General features: G+C 37.0%; 1 protein-coding gene across 4 annotated transcripts in view; it reads left to right on the top strand.

Annotated features, from left to right (window-relative positions):
* Positions 1-19,440, top strand: part of WDR49 (WD repeat domain 49) — a 179,240-nt gene that overhangs the window by 126,349 nt on the left and 33,451 nt on the right. For all 4 annotated transcript variants that reach the window (NM_001348951.2, NM_001366158.1, NM_001348952.2 and 1 more), the window contains 4 exons: positions 296-460; positions 2,336-2,523; positions 3,558-3,755; positions 9,091-9,260. In NM_001348951.2, the coding sequence (NP_001335880.1) occupies positions 296-460; positions 2,336-2,523; positions 3,558-3,755; positions 9,091-9,260 (721 nt within the window). The remainder of the gene's footprint in view (positions 1-295; positions 461-2,335; positions 2,524-3,557; positions 3,756-9,090; positions 9,261-19,440) is intronic.

Below are 19,440 nucleotides of genomic sequence, written 5' to 3'. Positions count from 1 at the left end.
TATTAGGATCCCTAAGATGTTAGCATTGATGCCAATATTAAGTTCTTACTTAATTCATATCAAGTGAAAACAGAGCAAGTGTGTATGGAACATGAAAAACAAAAATAATGTCAAACAATTCTTCAAGTTGGGGTTGAGAAATAGCAGAAGGCTTGATAGATGTTGACTGGAAGTCTCTTGTGAGACTTGGAGTCAATGGATATAGTGATAGATGTGGGCCTGCTATTTCATAGGCATTAGTTTGAAAAGCAGATATTTTTCTTCATTAATATACTTGGCTTTGTCTCCCTCACAGATACAAAACCTCAAAAACTTCTCAGTGCTGGGAGAAGCCAACCCTCCCACCCCATGGCAGACCATTCTACCACGGGAGTCCGCAACTTTGAGATTGACACTGAGGGCAAAAATGCTGTTATGAGACTTTGCTTTCTTAAAGCAAGAAAAAACACTGCAGTGACAGGTAAAATATATATTTACATTTTACATATAGTTGGAAAGGGAGCAATAAAGAAAATCCAATCTATTTCTACTAGATCTTGTAGAATTTGACTGCACGTAGCTAACCAGTCAGTAGTGTGTCAAGTGAGGTCACAGACCATGGCAAAGGAAGTTGGAATTGAGGAGGATGGATTCAAGAGCAGGAGCCAGACTACATCCCACTACTAATTTATCCAGTGTTGTATATGTCAAGATCAAGATGGGAAAAATTCTGACAAATTATTGGATACGGGCAACAATCAGAATTGTTGTCCCAGACCTGTCATAAAGAGGTTTTAATACAGTAGGGGCACAGCAAGATGTATGCCGAAGTCAAAGCTTAAGTCCACATATAGCAGAAAAGTTGAGTCTGAGACTGACTATATGAGCACCTAATCAAAATAGGCTGGAAGAGAATAATGAGGAGCATGGATGTTAAGAACAGTAACAGAATTTGAAAGAATTGCTAATCCCAGGACAAGAGCTGCCTGCTCTCTTCTCTGTTCTCATCGTTTTGTTTTTTTTTTTAAGTATTGGTTATATCTTCTCCAGAGATGTATACTAACATTGATGCTATTTTATGATTTACTGTAGTTATATGATATTATGTAAGTGAAATAACCATTTGCTTAATTTTTTCCTTGTTGTCAGTGGCAATATTAGCATGGTGTTGATGCAGCCTGCATCTTTCCAAAATGAAAATCTGCCTTGGAGAATAATGTATATTTTTTTACCTTTCATCTAAAATAACAATCGTATCTTCAGGGTATATTTTTCTTAACATTAGGAACTAGACATATATGTATTATGTATTTGAAAAGGAAATGAACATATCTGAATTATGTTTATTGTTTCCCATATTTAATTTACAGATGAAAATCTGTATAATTTTCATATAAAATTTTTAATCATTAAGAATCAATAAAGGTATAGTTTAAAAACATTCTGGGATGTTTAGAATAAACTTTGAAACAATTAGATTCTAAAACTTTCCATTTTCTAGAACTTGCTTATACTCACAATATGAATTATTATCCTGAAATTACTCTCATTTCCTCAATACTAATTTTAATGTTATCAGTATTCCCAGATTGTTCTCACTGAAGCAGCTACATGTTATTATTTCTACCTTAAATAGATATGATTGTTTATTGGCAGTACATTTGTGAAGCAAACTGGAAGTCATCTACAGATTTATCAAATAATAGGAACCTTGCCACAAAAGAATAACTTAGGTAAAGTGCTTCAACAAAACCTATAAAAATGGAAAATGAAAAGGTTAGTTCTAGGCTCATTCACCAAAAAGGGGTTTTATAAGGGTTTACAATGAATTATTGATGAAAACATTTAAAGAAAGCTCATAAATAGAATTCTAAGCATGCTGCCAAACGGAGAAGTCAATAGCTATTCTGCTATCACTACATATTCCATCCAAATCTGTGCATATGGACTTTTACTTCATTGTATATGTCCAGTGGGTTATTAGGGAAGATTAATTTTATATAATGAGAATATTATCATAATGTTGGAATTAATATTTCATGTTTTATCTGAAGAAACAATTCTATCTAACTTTTAAATACCCCCAAAACATCAGAATAATGAATGAAGAAAAGGGAACTAAACGTAATGGAACACTTCAATATCCTATCTCATTTAATACTCAACACAAACCAGTGAGGTTATCATAGCGTCACCTCCATTTTATATTTGAGAAAATTAAAGTGGTGCTGGGAATTGATCTCAGGGCTACTCACCTCTTCAACATCACATGCTTTCCACAGGGAAAGCCACTGAAGAAGTTATTTCTGGCATTTGTTGTTCAGTTTTCTAGTTAGATTTTTCCCTTACATGTTAGGAGGAGCTAACCTGGTATCATGTGGAGGATCTGGTTATGTCAGATTTTGGGATATATATAAGAAGCAACTTCTGGCTGAATTTTTGGCTCATAGTGGAGTTGGATCGATTATTATGTCTACTGATAAGATGAATCGATACCTTACCACAGGAGATCTTGATGGATGGTTGAAAATCTGGAATATAGAGGTAAATTGAAAAACATTATCACATTACCTTTAAGATTTTTGGTGACCCTTTGTTGCAGGTAACTATGAATCAAGCCTTGTCTGTCTCCTAAACAAAGGAAAAAATGTATAGTCTAAGTGTTTTAAATAAAACATTTACAAGTTTCATGCAGAGACTTCTTTTAAATAATTAATGAGGAAAATCATGTTTTTCTCAATATTGACAACCTTCTGTTAAGTAAGTCATCCAATTTAGAAATGCAATATTGTTAGTAAAGCACTGCAGCATTATTTGAATGTAAATAATTAGGATACACCTTATTTTTAATGTATGTATGTATTTATTTATTTATTTTGAGACAGGATCTCCCTCTGTCACCTAGACTGGAGTGCAGTGGCATGATTATAGCTCTCTGCAACTTCAAACTCCTGGTTCCAGCCATCCTCCCACCTCAGCCTCCTGAGTAGCTAGGACTACAGGAGTGTTCCACTATGCCCAGCTAATTATTTTATTTTATTTTATTTTATTTTATTTTATTTTATTTATTTTACTTTTTGTAGAGACAGGGTCTCACTAGGTTGCCTGGGGTGAGGCTACACCTTATCTGCAATGAGATTGTAAATGTAATTTAAATACTAGAGGACTATTCCTTCATTTAACATTATTGTTACCCTGAGTTAGTTTGGGATTTTTTCTTTTTTATCACTGATTACCTGCTCAATTTTCTAATAATATTTGAACGTTGTATATGTGACCACCTGTATGTGGTAAAGTTCATCTCTATCAAATAATTGGCTTTACTATTTATATTTTTCTTTCCTTCCTCCTTCCCCACTAGTTCCTTTTTTTTATTTCCCAAGTAATCAGATAAGTTAGAAACCTTTTTTTAATGTAATTTCGTTTTCTAGCCTCTTTTATCATGAACTTTTCTTTTGCATTTGGATCATAGGTTATTGTTCCCAAGTTTGAAAATCGGCCTTTTTTTAAAAGTGTTATGTCATTGTAATCATTTCATATTTGAATTTTTTAGAGTTCTGGTATTTCTTTTCATTCAGGAGTACTGTCTTAACTCCAGTAAGAACAAAATCACCAAGGCCCCAACTCTGATAAGATCATTCCAACCTCATGAGGACCGAATAAGTTCCTTAGAGATGTGTGAGCCAGGTGGTCAGTTACTGATTATCTCCTCCTCTGCAGACTGCAGTATTTGTGTGACTGGTGTCTGCAATGCTCCTGTTTGGATCTTTGGTCAGGTAGAAATATTGCTTCTTTATTATTCTAGTATTTACTTGACATTTAGTATTAACTTGGGCTGATTTCTATTTGAATCTCATCAGCTGTTTAATGTTCATTAGTCATGAAAGAACTGACAACATTTCCGAAGCAGTAGCTCCAGGCGACTCTTGCCCTGTTTTCCATTAACCAAGACAGTTCCATCAAGTGGAAGACACCAGAGACATGGAAAGATGGGGGCTCTGTGCAGCTCAAAATATTCTAGGATTTCTGAGAAAAAATTCTCCTCTAGAATAAATTTCTTCAATTTCAACATTTAGTAAAAGTTCAACGTGGATAAAATGATCATGTAACTAAAAAGACAGGTGATTATGACTGTTAACTAAGAACGTAATAATCAAATGCAGAAAATTTTAGAAAAAAAAACCAATCATCCTATTCATTATCTGGTTTACTGCTGCCAAATAATAATAGTTAACATTTGCTGAGTTTTTCTTGTGTACGTGGGGTACTGTTCTAAGATGTTTTTCAAGAATTAACTCATTTAATCTTCACAATTGCTCAACTCAGGAGGGAGCAGCTCTCACAATTCCCATTTTACAGATAAGGAAACAGAGGCACAGAGAGTTTGAATAAATCACCTGAGCTCACAGAAGCTAATCGTGGTAGAGTTTTGTTTTTAACTCAAGTTGGGTCACTTCAGAGCTCACATTTTTAACCCCTTTCTCAAGATCTGACTTGCTCCTGCCTATGAAATGAAATGGAAATGGGAGTCATGAAAGAAAGGAAATATTTAGTCTCATATTTTCTGTTATTTTTTCCTTTTGCTTTCTTGGGAACTTTTCCTGTTCCATTTGTGCTTTTGCGGACAAAATATGTTTCACTGGTTTCAACCAGTACTATTCAAACCTGGTATAAGTTTAAGTGAAGCCTCAATATCTGTTTGGCCAGCTGATTTGGTTCTATTTAGGAGCCTCAGGTGCCAATCTTATGCCAGGAGAGTAGGCAATTCTTTTAGTGTTGGAAGACAAGGTTTGTTGTTGCTGTATTTGTAAAGTCAGTTTGATGAGGCCAACCTGTGTGGAAAGAATTCTAAGCACCCCTTTAGGATGCAGAGGGTGTTGGTAAATCAGAAAATCATCTGGGAGGTGGACCCACATTGGCTAGACGACAGTCTCAATGTAACACTCCGGAGCTGTAGCAATCTCTTGTATTTTGTAAATAAGACAAGCACTAGACTTTTCTCAGTCAGGAAAAAAAGCGGCTAAGTGGGAACTCATACAGGCTTGTGATGAGTGAGACAGGGTGGGACATGGCTGGCAGTCTGGACAGGAAAGAGGGTGGAAGCCTGCTTCAGGCCACTGAAGAAGCCAAAGCATTGCTGACAGAGGCTGTGGCAAGATGAGGTGGAGGTTTGAACAACAGGTAAAGAAACGAAACGTCATCAAGTGGGTGACCTAAGAAGTTCCTTAGACATCCGGGGTCGAACCAAGAAATAACACCGTTCTAGGTGTAGGTGCCATATAAAGTTCACCCACCAAACATAATCTGTAGCTAAATTTTATTTTAATTCAGAAATGTGTGCTTGTAAAACTGCTTATTTTTGTATTATTGATATTATTTGTTGTTTCTGTGAAGTCTTGCTTTTTTGAAGATGCAAAAAGCCCTCATGAGAATAATTTTATTTTTTCCCTTCTGTTCAAGACAGGAGAAGAGTCATCAGAGCTGGGTCAGTTTTACAAATTGAAGGCTAGCAAATCTGGGGAAAACGGTTTTCTAGTTCCTTCTGCTTGCACTACTTCTTTTTTTTAATTTTTATTTTTTAAAGGATTGACTTTTATCAAGCTGTCTTGAATATAAGTGCCATTAGTCCCAAGATGTAGAGCAAAGAGTGTGGGGAAGAAGAAACAGAAAGGAGGGGAAAGGGAAAGGAAAAGAGGGAAAGGAAAGAGAGAGGAGAAAAGGGAAGTTTTTTTTTGTTGTTTGTTTGTTTGTTTAACAAAAAAACAAAAATTAGAATCACTTTTATAACATAGCTATTGACCTTAGGCTGGTTTTCAGGTTAGATTTTTAAAAGTAAGTTGTATGGTATGTCTATTTCTAGAGTTGGAGAAATAGGAGTGAAGAGGATTTATTCATAAATGCATGTTTATCCCACGAAGCTGACAGGTGATTGTGGGATAAGAAGAAATTCAAATGATGCTTGAAATTCTTCAGTGCCCCACTTTGTGCACTAACTACTGTTGTGCTAGGCAGAATTTATGTACTGGCAACTCTCCTCATCTGATTGATTTGATGTCCAGTGACTTTGATTGTGTCTCTTCATCCAGTGAATAATTAAAATTTGATTTAGTTGCCCACATTTAAACAATAATAGATTTCATGTAAAGATTCAAGTTTCTCATTTCTCTTAAAAAAAGAGCAATCAGGCAAGAGAAAGAAATAAAGGGTATTCAAATATGCAGAGAGGAAGTCAAATTGTCTCTGTTTGCATACAACGTGATTGTATATTTAGAAAACCCCATTGTCTCAGCCCAAAAACTCCTTAAGTTGATAAAGAACTTCAGCAAAGTCTCAGGATACAAAATTAATGTGCAAAAATCACAAGCATTCCTGTACACCAATAATAGACAAGCAGAGAGCCCAATCATGAGCGAATTCCCATTCACAATAGCTACAAAGAAAATAAAATACCTAGGAATACAACTTACAAGGGACATGAAGGACCTCTTCAAGGAGAACTACAAATCGTTGCTCAAGGAAATCAGGGAGGACACAAACAAATGGAAAAACACTCCATGCTCATGAACAGGAAGAATCGATATCATGAAAATGGCCATACTGCCCAAAGTAATTTATAGATTCAATGCTATTCCCATCAAGCTACCATTGGCTTTCTTCACAGAACTGGAAAAAACTACTTTAAATTTTATATGGAACTGAAAAAGAGCCCATGTTGCCAATACAATCCTAAGCAAAAAGAACAAAGCTGGAGACATCATGCTACCTGACATCAAACTATACTACAAGGCTACAGTAACCAAAACAGCATGGTACTGGTACCAAAACAGATAAAGAGACCAATGGAATAGAACAGAGGCCTCATAAATAACACCACACACCTACAACCATCTGATCTTTGACAAACCTTACATAAACAAACAATGGGGAAATTATTCCCTATTTAATAAATGGTGCTGGGAAAACTGGCTAGCCATAAGCAGAATACAGAAATTGGACCCCTTTCTTATACCTTATACAAAAATTAACTCAAAATGGATTAAAGACTTAAATGTAAAACCTAAAACTATAAAAACCCTAGAAGAAAACCTAGGCAAAACCATACAGGACATAGGCATGGGCAAAGACATCATGACTAAAATACCAAAAGCAATTGCAGCAAAAGCTGAAGTTGACAAATGCAATCTAATTAAGCTAAAAAGCTTCTGCACAGCAAAAGAAAATATCATCAGGGTGAACAGGCAACCTACAGAATGGGAGAAAATTTTTGCAATCAATCAATCTATCTATCTGACAAAGGTCTAATATCCAGAATCTATGAGGAACTTAAACAAATGTACAAGAAAGAAACCAAACAACCTCATCGAAACGTGAGTGAAGGATATGAACAGACACTTCTCAAAAGAAGGTATTTATGTGGCCAAAAAACACTGAAAAAAAGCTCATTATCACTGGTCATTAGAGAAATGCATATCAAAACCATAATGAGATACCATCCCACATCAGTTAGAATGGCAATCATTAAAAAGTCTGGAAACAACAGATGCTGGTGAGGATGTGGAGAAATAGGAATGCTTTTACACTGTTGGTGAGAGTGCAAATTAGTTCAACCACTGTGGAAGACAGTGTGGCAACTCCTCAAGGATCTAGAACAAGAAATACCATTTGATTCAGGAATCCCATTACTGAATATATACTCAGTGGATTATAAATCATTCTACTATTAAATACACATGCACATGTATGTTTTTTGCAGCACTATTTACAATAGCAAAGACTTGGAACCAACCCAAATACCCATCAATGATAGACCAGAAAAAGAAAATGTGGCACATATAAACCATGGAATACTACGCAGCCATAAAACAGGATGAGTTCTTGTCTTTGCAAGGACATGGATGAAGCTGGAAACCATCATCCTCAGCAAACTAACACAGGAACAGAAAACCAAACACCACATGTTCTCACTCATAAGTGAGAGTTGAACAATTAGAACACATGGACACAGGGAGAGGAACATCACTCACCGGGGACTGTTGCGGGGTGGGGGAAAGGGGAGGTAGAGCATTAGGATAAATACCTAATGCATGTGGAGCTTAAAACTTAGATGATGGGTTGATAGGTGCAGCAAGCCACCATGGCACATGTATACCTATGTAACAAGCCTGAATGTTCAGCACATGTATCCCAGAACTTAAGGTGGAAAAAAAAAAAAAGAATGTATGTCATTCCTTAAGAGTAACTATGGCTTTTATGTAAAATGGGTTCTCTTTAATTCAGTATAGTCTCTGAATTTTTTTATTGCCTTAAAAACTGAGGGTGAGTTTTATTTACTATTTATTACCCATTTATTTTCTTGTATTAGGTTCAATTCATTCATTGATATTATTTGACTGGCTCTGTAGGCATTTTATTCTGCAAACACTTATGACAAGTCTGATCAATTTGCGCACCAGCCAAATATCTGCAGGATGCCTACGGTTCCCCTCATATCTCACAGGCTGCATTCTCTGGAACATTCTGTGTGCATGAAGTGTATTGATATAAGATGAGAAAATTGGCTCTGTATTTAAAACATAAAATAGATTGTTAATGGGGAACTTTTGCTAGATGAATGCATTTTAAGAAGTGTAGCCAAATCTGTGAAAACTATTATATAACACACATAATTTTTAGAAAACAATATTTAATAACTGAATTGGCTTTTGAAAACATTTAAGGAGGTAACACGCAAATAAAGTAGTTGAGGGAATAAATAAGTGTGGCAATTCTTTAACAAAAGCTTTGTTTTGTTTTTAGTAAATGTACATCTGGCTATTCAGAATTTTAAAATGGGAATGGTAAAAAAATTTTTGTAGTTCATTATTATCTCTTCAGAGAATTTTTGTTTCTTATGACATATCTCATTTTCTACCTTTATTAAAGTTACATGAAACTCTTTCATTTCCCATGTAAAACTGTAAGCTTCTTGTGGACCGGAGTCATATCTTTTTCATCTTCTTGTGTGTCCCACCCCAGGACTTTAATTAGTAATCCAGCACATGGTAAACACACGTAAATGTTTGAAGAAAATAAATTTCATAAAAATAAAACAGATGTTTTCGTTTTTTTCAGGCAAAGCACTGGCATATTGAAAACTGCCTTTTCCTTCCTAAAAGAGATACTAATTTAGTGGAAAGTGAGATTCAAAAGGAAATTTCTTTATTTTCTAAGGAGGAATCTTGTTTAGACCCAACAGAACATTCTCTACTTAATAAGAAAAACAAAGATGACTCAACATACAAGTAAGTAATTTTGAACATTAGCCAGATGTCAACTGAAGTCTAGATAAGACATAGATAAGATTGGTCCAAATTTCCTTGTGTCCTCTGTGGAATGTTCAATGACTACCTCAAGATTTCTCCAAAATTTGGGGGATTGGTAGGTGCGTATGAATGAGTGACTTATATTATCGGGGCCATATTTGGTTCTTATTTCTTGACTACATTGATTCTTGATATGTATTAAGTGCCATCTAGTCTTTTACTGCTACTCCATCATCAATCTAATTGTGAAAATTTGCCCCTTTCTTCAAAAACAATCTATCTATCTATCTATCTATCTATCTATCTATCTATCTATCTATCTATCTATCTTAGAATGTGTATCAGATTTTACTCCTGGTTTTGATAAAGTGCACAGCGGTTTATGTGACAAAAGTTCAAAGAGCTTAACTTTGAAGTTAGACATCACTTCCTTAAGGCTTCTCGTCTCTCTATGTTGCTCAGACGTTCTTCTCTTCACATCACTCTGCTAGATTCCATATTTACATTTCATTTATGCTCTCATGTTAAGGAGTTTAGTTCTTTTGTTTTCTACACTTTTGCTAAACCATGCTCTCATAACTTAACTTTCATGCTAAATGGCTATTTTATTCTTGTAGAGATAGATATCTGAGCTTATTACTTGGAGAATAATAAAAATATTTTGGCGCTTTTGATTTATTATTTGTTCAATGTGAGAAAAGAAATGGGGTTTACTCAGAGCTGACAAGAAAATAGTCATTCTATAAAACTCCCACCATGCTTTAATTCATTGCTTCTGTAACATTCTATGTTAAACAGGTGAAACACCAGAGAGAACTGTCTTTTCTTCTTCCCTTTAACTCAGTAGTCACAGTTTTCCTTTCACTGAGGATGGGAAGAAGGAAAAAGGTAGCATTGCTGTTCTTGAGGCTTGGCAGATGTGCAAAGCATTCTCTTTTTTCTGGGGGTATAGTTGAGGGTTCTTTGATGACCCCACTGAGGGATCTCTGCATTGCACATTTCCAAACTCATGAACTCTTTGACTAGTTTCTTATGGCTCACCTCCTCCAGCTCATGCCCCTTGTAATACACATCACAGTGTTTTCTGTTACAGTCCTGCACATTGCCAAGCCTCCCCTCTTGCACAACTCCTGGTTTAACTTCTGCTTGGCCTGTAGGAAACTCAAACATTTTGCAATACCAACTTTTCCACTGTTTCCCCACTGCTCCCTGCAACTCCAGGTACAGCTTTTTGCCTGTAGACTTCTTCAGGTGTTAGTGAGACACAGGTCTGCTGTGTCCCTCTCATTGTTACCCTAGAGGACTACCTTAAGCTATTTGGGCTATGTGAATAGAGGCTAGAAATGAAAAAGAGAAAAGCTTTCCTCCCCTCCAATGGAGTGGGTCTCAATTCACACATAAGACTCTCTCTGATGCAATCATCCCTTATAGTTTCCGCATCCTTTGTTTATATCTTAAAGTGATGGTTGGCTTAAGTGTCACAAGATCAGTTTTGGAGCTACCTTCTTGGCAAAATGACTCTTCACACAGAGTCTAACCACCTCATTTTGGCATGTAGAAATACTTTTGTATTAAACATCTCAATAAATTACTTTGCTTTCAAACTTTTTGAACCTCCGCTGACACATAGATAGAAGAAAAAAATTCCCCTTTAGCATTCTGTTATGCTAAATTACTTTGGTATTTGTTCTTCCATTTCCTTGAATTATGGCTTGCAGAAATGTCAAGTGGCATTTTACATTTAGGCAGAAGGATATTTTCAGTTTAGAAATCTAGCATGAGCAATCCTGTACAATCATAGAATGCTGGGAATGGAAAGACTTTACATAGGATAAAATGTCCCCACCCACCTACCCTACTCAATCTTACAGATGAAGAAATAAAGTTACCTTAGGGTAACACAGACAGATCATTTTTTTTCTTTCCATCACATGCATAGCAGAGTGAAGGCAAGTATTACAGATTCCTGTTTAAGAGTATTTCAGCCAAGATACTAATTTCCCATTCCTTATGACAAACTCAGTTATCCTTTAAACATTTTTTTTTTTTTGAGGCTGTCTTGCTTTGTTGTCCAGCTGAAATGCAGTGGTGCGACCACAGCTCACTGCAGCATCAACTTCCCTGGCTCAATCAATCCTCCCACCTCAGCCTCCCAAGTAGCTCGGACTACAGGCATGCCACCACACCCAGTTTGCACACACACACACACACACATTTTTTTCTTTATAGATGAGGTTTTGTCATGTTGCTCAGGCAGGTCTGGAACTCCTAGGTTGAAGTGATCCTTCCACTTCACCCTCCCAAAGTGCTGGGATTACAGACGTGAGCCATCACTCCCATCCTAAACACTTTTTTAAACCAATCTTTTCCTAGATTCAAACATTGGCTGTTTGAACTCTTCTTTCCTGACTTCATTTTCAGTTAATTTTATTTTCTATTGTTCCTGGAAACTTTGTATTATGAAAATCAGTGCTGATATATAGGGTTTTTTAAAATTTATTTTAATTTCTGGGGTACATGTGTAGGATGTACAGCTTTGTTACATAGGTAAATGTATGCCATGGAGGTTTGCTGCACCTATTGACCTATAACCTAAGTATTAAACCCAGCATGCAGTAGCAATTTTTCATGATGCTCCCCCTCCCCCATCCCCCACCCCTGGACAGGTTCCAGTGTGTGTTGTTCCCCTCCTTGTGTCCATGTGTTCTCATTGTTCAGCTCCCACTTTTGAGTGAGAACATGTGATGTTTTGTTTTCTGTTCCTGAGTTAGTTTGCTGAGGATAATGGCTTCCAGCTCCATCCATGTCCCTGCAGAGGACATTATCTCATTCCTTTTGTGGCTGTATAGTATTCCATGGTGTATATGTAACATTTTCTTTATCCAGTCTATCATTGATGGGCATTTGGGTTGATTCCATTTATTGGCTATTGTGAATAGTGCTGTAATGAACGTATGTGTGCTTGTATCTTTATAACAGAATGATTTATATTCCTTTGGGTATATACCCAGTAATGAGATTGCTGGGTCAAATGGTAGTTTAAATACTATTTCTGGTTCTAGGTCTTTGAGGAATCACCACACCATCTTAGACCATGAGTGAACTAATTTACATTCCCATCAACAGTGCAAAAGCATTCGTATCTCTCTGCAGCCTCACCAGCATCTGTTGTTTCTTGACTTTTTAATAATTGCTATTGTGACTGGCATGAGATGGTATCTCACTGTGGTTTTGATTTGCATTTCTCTAATGATCAGTGATGTTGAGCCTTTTTTCATTTGTTTGTTGGTTGCATAAATGTCTTCTTTTGAGAAGTGTCAGTTTATGTCTTTGCCCACTTTTTAATGGGGTTGTTTTTTTTTTTCTTGTAAATTTGTTTAAGTTCCCTGTGGACTCTGAATACTAGCTCTTTGTCTGATGGATAAGTTGCAAAAATTTTCACCCATTCTGTAAGTTGTCTGTTCACTCTGATGACAGTTTCTTTTGCTGTGCAGAAGCTTTTTAGTTTAATATCTCATTTGGCAACAAAAGCCAAAGTTGACAAATGGGATCTAATTAAACTAAAGAGCTTCTGCACAGCAAAAGAAACTACCATCAGAGTGAACAGGCAACCTACAATATGGGAGAAAATTTTTGCAACCTACTCATCTGACAAAGGGCTAATATCCAGAATCTACAATGAACTCAAACAAATTTACAAGAAAAAAACAAACAACCCCATCAAAAAGTGGGCAAAGGATATGAACAGACACTTCTCAAAAGAAGACATTTATGCAGCCAAAAGACACATGAAAAAATGCTCATCATCACTGGCCATCAGAGAAATGCAAATCAAAACCACAGTGAGATATGATCTCACACCAGTTAGAATGGCAATCATTAAAAAGTCAGGAAACAACAGGAGCCGGAGAGGATGTGGAGAAATAGGAACACTTTTACACTGTTGGTGGGACTGTAAACTAGTTCAACCATTGTGGAAGTCAGTGTGGCGATTCCTCAGGGATCTAGAACTAGAAATACCATTTGACCCAGCCATCCCATTACTGGGTATATACCCAAAGGACTGTAAATCATGCTGCTATAAAGACACATGCACACGTATGTTTATTGCGGCATTATTCACAATAGCAAAGACTTGGAACCAACCCAAATGTCCAACAATGATAGACTGGATTAAGAAAATGTGGCACATATACACCATGGAATACTATGCAGCCATAAAAAATGATGAGTTCATGTCCTTTTCAGGGACATGGATGAAACTGGAAATCATCATTCTCAGCAAACTATTGCAAGGACAAAAACCAAACACTGCATGTTCTCACTCATAGGTGGGAATTGAAGAATGAGAACACATGGACACAGGAAGGGGAACATCACACTCTGGGGACTGTTGTGGGGTTGGGGGAGGGTGGAGGGATAGCATTAGGAGATATAACTAATGCTAGATGACGAGTTAATGGATGCAGCACACCAGCATGGCACATGTATACATATGTAACTAACCTGCACATTGTGCACATGTACCCTAAAACTTAAAGTATAATAATAATAAAAAAAGAAAAGAAAAGAAAAGAAAAGAAAAAAAAAGTAAAGGTTAAAAACGGAAAAAAAAAATATCTCATTGGTCAATTTTTAGTTTCATTGCAATTACTTTTGATGTTTTCATCTTGAAATCTTTGCCTGTACCTATATCCTGAATCACATTGCCTAGATTTTCTTCTAGGGTTTTTATAGCTTTGGGTTTTACAATTAAGTCTTTAATCCATTTTGAGTTAATTTTTGTATAAGATGTAAGGAAGGAGACCGGTTTCAATTTCCTGCATATGGCTAGCCAGTTCTCCTAGCACCATTTATTAAATAGGGAATCCTTTCTTCATTGCTTGTTTTCATCAGGTTTGTTGAAGATTAGATGGTTGTAGATGTGTGGTCTTATTTCTTAGTTCTCTATTCTGTTCCATGGGTCTCTGTGTCTGTTTTTGTACCAGTACTATGCTGTTTTGGTTACTGTAGCCGTGTAGTACAGTTTGAAGTTGGGTAGCCTGATGCCTCCAGCTTTGTTCTTTTTGGTTAGCATTGTTTTGGCTATACAGGCTCTTTTTTGGTTCCATATGAATTTTAAAATAGTTTTTTTCTAATTCTGTCAAGAATGTCAAGAGTACTAGTTTACAGTCCCACCAACAGTGTAAAAGTGTTCCTATTTACCCACATCCTCTCCAGCACCTGTTGTTTCCTGACTTTTTAATGCTCACCATTCTAACTAGTGTGAGATGGTATCTCATTATGGTTTTGATTTGCATTTCTCTGATGGCCAGTGATGATGAGCATTTTTTCATGTGTCTTTTGGCTGCATAAATGTCTTCTTTTGAGAAGTGTCTGTTCATATCCTTTGCCCACTTTTTGATGGGGTTGTTTGTTTTTTTCTTGTAAATTTGTTTGAGTTCATTGTAGATTCTGGATATTAGCCCTTTGTCAGATTAGTAGATTGCAAAAATTTTCTCCCATTCTGTAGGTTGCCTGTTCACTCTGATGGTAGTTTCTTTTGCTGTGCAGAAGGTCGTTAGTTTAATTAGATCCCATTTGTCAATTTTGGCTCGTTCAACCATTGTGGAAGTCAGTGTGGCGATTCCTCAGGGATCTAGAACTAGAAATACCATTTGACCCAGCCATCCCATTACTGGGTATATACCCAAAGGATCATATATCATGCTGCTATAAAGACACATGCACACATATGTTTATTGTGGCACTATTCACAATAACGACGACTTGGAACCAACCCAAATGTCCAACAATGATAGACTTGATTAAGAAAATGTGGCATATATACACCATGGAATACTATGCAGCCATAAAAAATGATGCGTTCATGTCCTTTGTAGGGACATGGATGAAGCTGGAAACCATCATTCTCAGCAAACTATTGCAAGGACAAAAAACCAAACACCACATGTTCTCACTCATAGGTGGGAATTGAACAATGAGAACACATGGACACAGGAAGGGGAACATCACACACTGGGGCCTGTTGTGGGGTGGGGGGAGGGTGGAGGGATAGCATTTGGAGATATACCTAATGTTAAATGATGAGTTACTGGGTGCAGCACAACAACATGGCACTTGTATACGTAACTAACCTGCACGTTGTGCACATGTACCCTAAAACTTAAAGTATAATAAAAAAAATTTCAAGAGTAGTTTGATGGGAATAGCATTGAATCTATAAATTACTTTGGGCAGTATGGCGATTTTCATGATATTGATTCTTTCTGTTCATGATCATGAAATGTTTTTCCACTTGTTTGTGTCCTCTCTGATTTCCTTGAGCAATGGTTTGTAGTTCTCCTTGAAGAGGGTTCTTCACTTTCCTTGATAGCTGTATTCCTAGATATTTTATTCTCTGTAGCGATTGTTAATGGGAATTCATCTATGATTTGGCCCTCTGCTTAGCTGTTATTTGTGTATAGGAGTGCTTGTGATTTTTGCACATTGTTTTTGTATCCTGAGTCTTTGCTGAAGTTATCAGCTTAAGAAGCTTTTGGGCTGAGTCAATATGGTTTTCTAGATATAGTATCATGTCACCTGCAAACAGAGAGAGTTTGACTTCCTTTCTTCCTATTTGAATACGCTTTATTTCTTTCTCTTGCCTGATTGCCCTGGCCAGAACTTCCAATACTACCCTGAATAGGAGTGGTGAGAAAGGGCATCTTTGTCTTGTGCCGGTTTTCAAGGGGAATGCCTCCAGCTTTTGCCCATTCAGTATGATATTGGCTATGAGTTTGGCATAAGTGACTCTTATTATTTTGAGATATGTTCCTTCAATATATATTTTATTCAGAGTTTTTAACATGAAGAAATGTTGAATTGTATAGCAGGCATTTTCTGTACCTATTGAGGTAATCATGTGGTTTTTGTTCTTAGTTTTGTTTATGTGATGAATTACGTTTATTGATTTACCTACGTTGAGTCAGCCTTGAATCCTGGGGATGAAGCCAACTTGATTGTGGTGGATACGCTTTTTGATGTGCTGCAGAATTTGGTTTGCAAGTATTTTATTGAGGATTTTTGCATCAATGTTCATCAGGGATATTGGCTGAAGTTCTTTTTTCGTTGTTTTGTTTTGTCTTGACCAGGTTTTGGTATCAGGATGATACTGAGCTCATAAAATGAGTGAGGGAAGAGTCACTCCTTTTCAATTTTTTGGAATAGTTTCAGAAGAAATGGTACCAGCTCCTTTTTGTATCTCTGGTAGAATTCAGCTGTGAATCACTCTGGTCCTTGGCTTTTTTGGTTTGTAGGCTATTTATTACTACCTCAATTTCAAAACTCATTACTGGCCTCTTCAGGGATTCAACTTCTTCCTGGTTCAGTCTTGAGAGGGTGTTTGTGTCCAGGAATTTATCCATTTCTTCTAGATTTCTTAGTTTATTTGCACAGAGGTGTTTATAGTATTCTTTGATGGTTGTATTTCTGTGGGGCCAGTGGTGATATCCCTTTTATCTTTTTTTATTGTGTCTATTTGATTCTTCTGTCTTTTCTTCTTTATTAATTCAGCTAGCAATCTATCTATTTTCTTAATTTTTTTCAAAAAGCCAGTTTAGGGATTTGTTGATATTTTGAAGGGTGTGTGTGTGTGTGTGTGTGTGTGTGTGTGTGTGTGTGTGTCTGCATCTCCTTCAGTTCTGCTCTGACCTTGGTTATTTCTTGTCTTCTGCTAGCTTAGGGGTCTGTTTGCTCTTGGTTCTCTAGTTCATTAGTTGTGATGTTAGGATGTTGATTTGAGATCTTTCTAGCTTTTTGATGTGGGCATTTAGTGCTGTAAATTTTTCTGTTAACACTGCATTAGCTGTGTCCCAGGGATTTTGGTACATGGCCTCTTTCTTCTCATTAGTTTCAAGGAACTTCTTAATTTCTGTCTTAATTTCATTACTTACCCAGGAGTCATTCAAGAGCAGGATGTTCAACTTCTATGTAGTTGTGTGGTGTTTAGTGAGTTTCTTAATATTGAGTTCTAATTAAATTGCGCTGTGGTCTGAGAGACTGTTATGATTTCAGTTCTTTTGCATTTGCTGAGGAGTGTTTTACTTCCAATTATGTGATCAATTTTAGAGGAAGTGCCATGTGGCACCAAGAAGAAAGTATATTCTGTTGTTTTTGGGTGGAGATTTCTGTAAATCTCTATCAGGTCCACTTGATCTAGAGCTGAGTTCAAGCCCTGAATATCTTTTACACTTTCTGTCTCGATATCTGTCTAATATTGACAGTTGGGTGTTAAAGTTTCCCACTATGATTGTGTGGGAGTCTAAGTCTCTTTGCAGGTCTCTAAGAACTTGTTTTATGATTCTGGGTTCTCCTGTATTGGGTGCATATATATTTAGCATAGTTAGCTCTTCTTGTTGAATTGAACACTTTACCATTATGTAATGCCTTTTTTTGTCTTTTTTGATCTTTGTTAGTTTAAAGTCTGTTTTGTCAGAAACTAGGATTGCAACCCCTGCATTTTTTCTGCTTTCCATTTGCTTGGTAAAATTTCCTCCATTCCTTTATTTTGAGCCTATGTGTGTCTGGCATGTGAGACACATCTTTTGAAGACAGCACACCAATGGGTCTTTACTCTTTATGCCATTTGCCATTCTGTGTCTTTTAATTGGGGTATTTAGCCCATTTATATTTAAGGTTGATATTGTTATGTGTGAATTTGATTTTGTCTCCATGATGCTGGCTGGTTATTTTGCAGACTTGTTAATGTAGTTTCTTCATGGTGTCATTGGTCTGTGTACTTCAGGGTGTTTTTGTATTGACTGATAACGGTTTTTCCTTTTCATATTCAGTGCTTCCTTCAGGAGCTCTTGCAAGGCAGGCCTAGTGGTGATGAATTCCCGCAGCATTTTCTTGTCTGAAAACAATCTTGTTTCTCCTTTGCTTATTAAGCTTAGTTTGGTTTGATATGGAATTCTGGATTGGAAATTCTTTTCTTTAAGAATGTTGAATATTGGCCCCCTCCCCCCAATCTCTTCTGGTTTGTAGAGTTTCTGCTGAGAGGTCCGCTGTCAGTCTGATGGGCTTCCCTTTGTAATTGACTTGGCCTTTCTCTCTGGCTGCCCTTTAATTTTTTTCCTTCATGTTAACCTTGGAAAGTCTGAGGATTATGTGTCTTGGGGTTGATCTTTTCATGTAGTATCTTACTGGGGTTCTCTGGATTTCTTGAATTTGAATGTTGGCCTGTCTTGCTAGGTTGAGAAAGTTCTCCTGGATGATATCCTGAAGTATGTTTTCCAACTTGTTTCCATTCTCTCCGTCTCTTGCAGGTACCCCAATCAGTCATAGGTTTGGTTATATAATCTCATAGTTCTCAGAGGCTTCATTTGTTCTTTTTCATTCTTCTTTCTCTTATCTTGTCTGCCTGTCTTATTTCAGCAAGATAGTCATCAAGCTCTGAGATTCTGTCCTCCGTGTGGACTATTCAGCTATTGACACTTGTGATTGCATTGTGAAGTTCTCTTGTGTTTTTCAGCTCTTTCAGGTCATCTTTGTTACTTTCTAAACTAGTTATTCTGGCTAACAGCTCCTGTAATGTTTTATCGTGGTTCTTAGCTTCTTTGCATTGTGTTAGAACATACTCTTTTACCTCAGTGAAGTTTATTACCCACCTTCTGAAGCCTACTTCTGTCAATTCATCCATCTCTGCCTCAGCCCAGTTCTGTGCCGTTTCTGGAGAGGTGTTACAATCATTTGGAATAGAAGAGGCACCCCAGCTTTTTGAATTTTCAGTGTTTTTGTGTGGATTTTTTTCTCATCTTTGTGGGTTTATCTACCTTCAATCTTTGAGGCTCCTGACCTTTGGATGAGATTTTGTGGGGTATTTTTTGTTGATGTTGTTGCTTTCTGTTTGTTTTTCTTTTAACAGTAAGGCCCCTCTTCTGTAGAGCTCCTCTTCTGCAGTTTGCTGGGGGTCCACTCTAGGCTCTATTTACCTGGGTCCCTCATGCACCTGGAGGTATCACCAGTGGAGGCTGCAGAAGAGCAAAGATGGCTGCCTGCTCCTTCCCCTGGGAGATCCATCCTGGAGGTGCACTGACCTGATGCCAGTGGGAGCTCTCCTGTATGAGGTTTCTGGTGACCCCTGTTTGGAGGTCTCACCTACTCAGGAGGCACAGAA

The sequence above is a fragment of the Homo sapiens genome, chromosome 3 (assembly GCF_000001405.40).
Source record: "Homo sapiens chromosome 3, GRCh38.p14 Primary Assembly".
NCBI lineage: Eukaryota > Metazoa > Chordata > Mammalia > Primates > Hominidae > Homo > Homo sapiens.
This window is presented reverse-complemented; position numbering and strand designations above follow the sequence as displayed.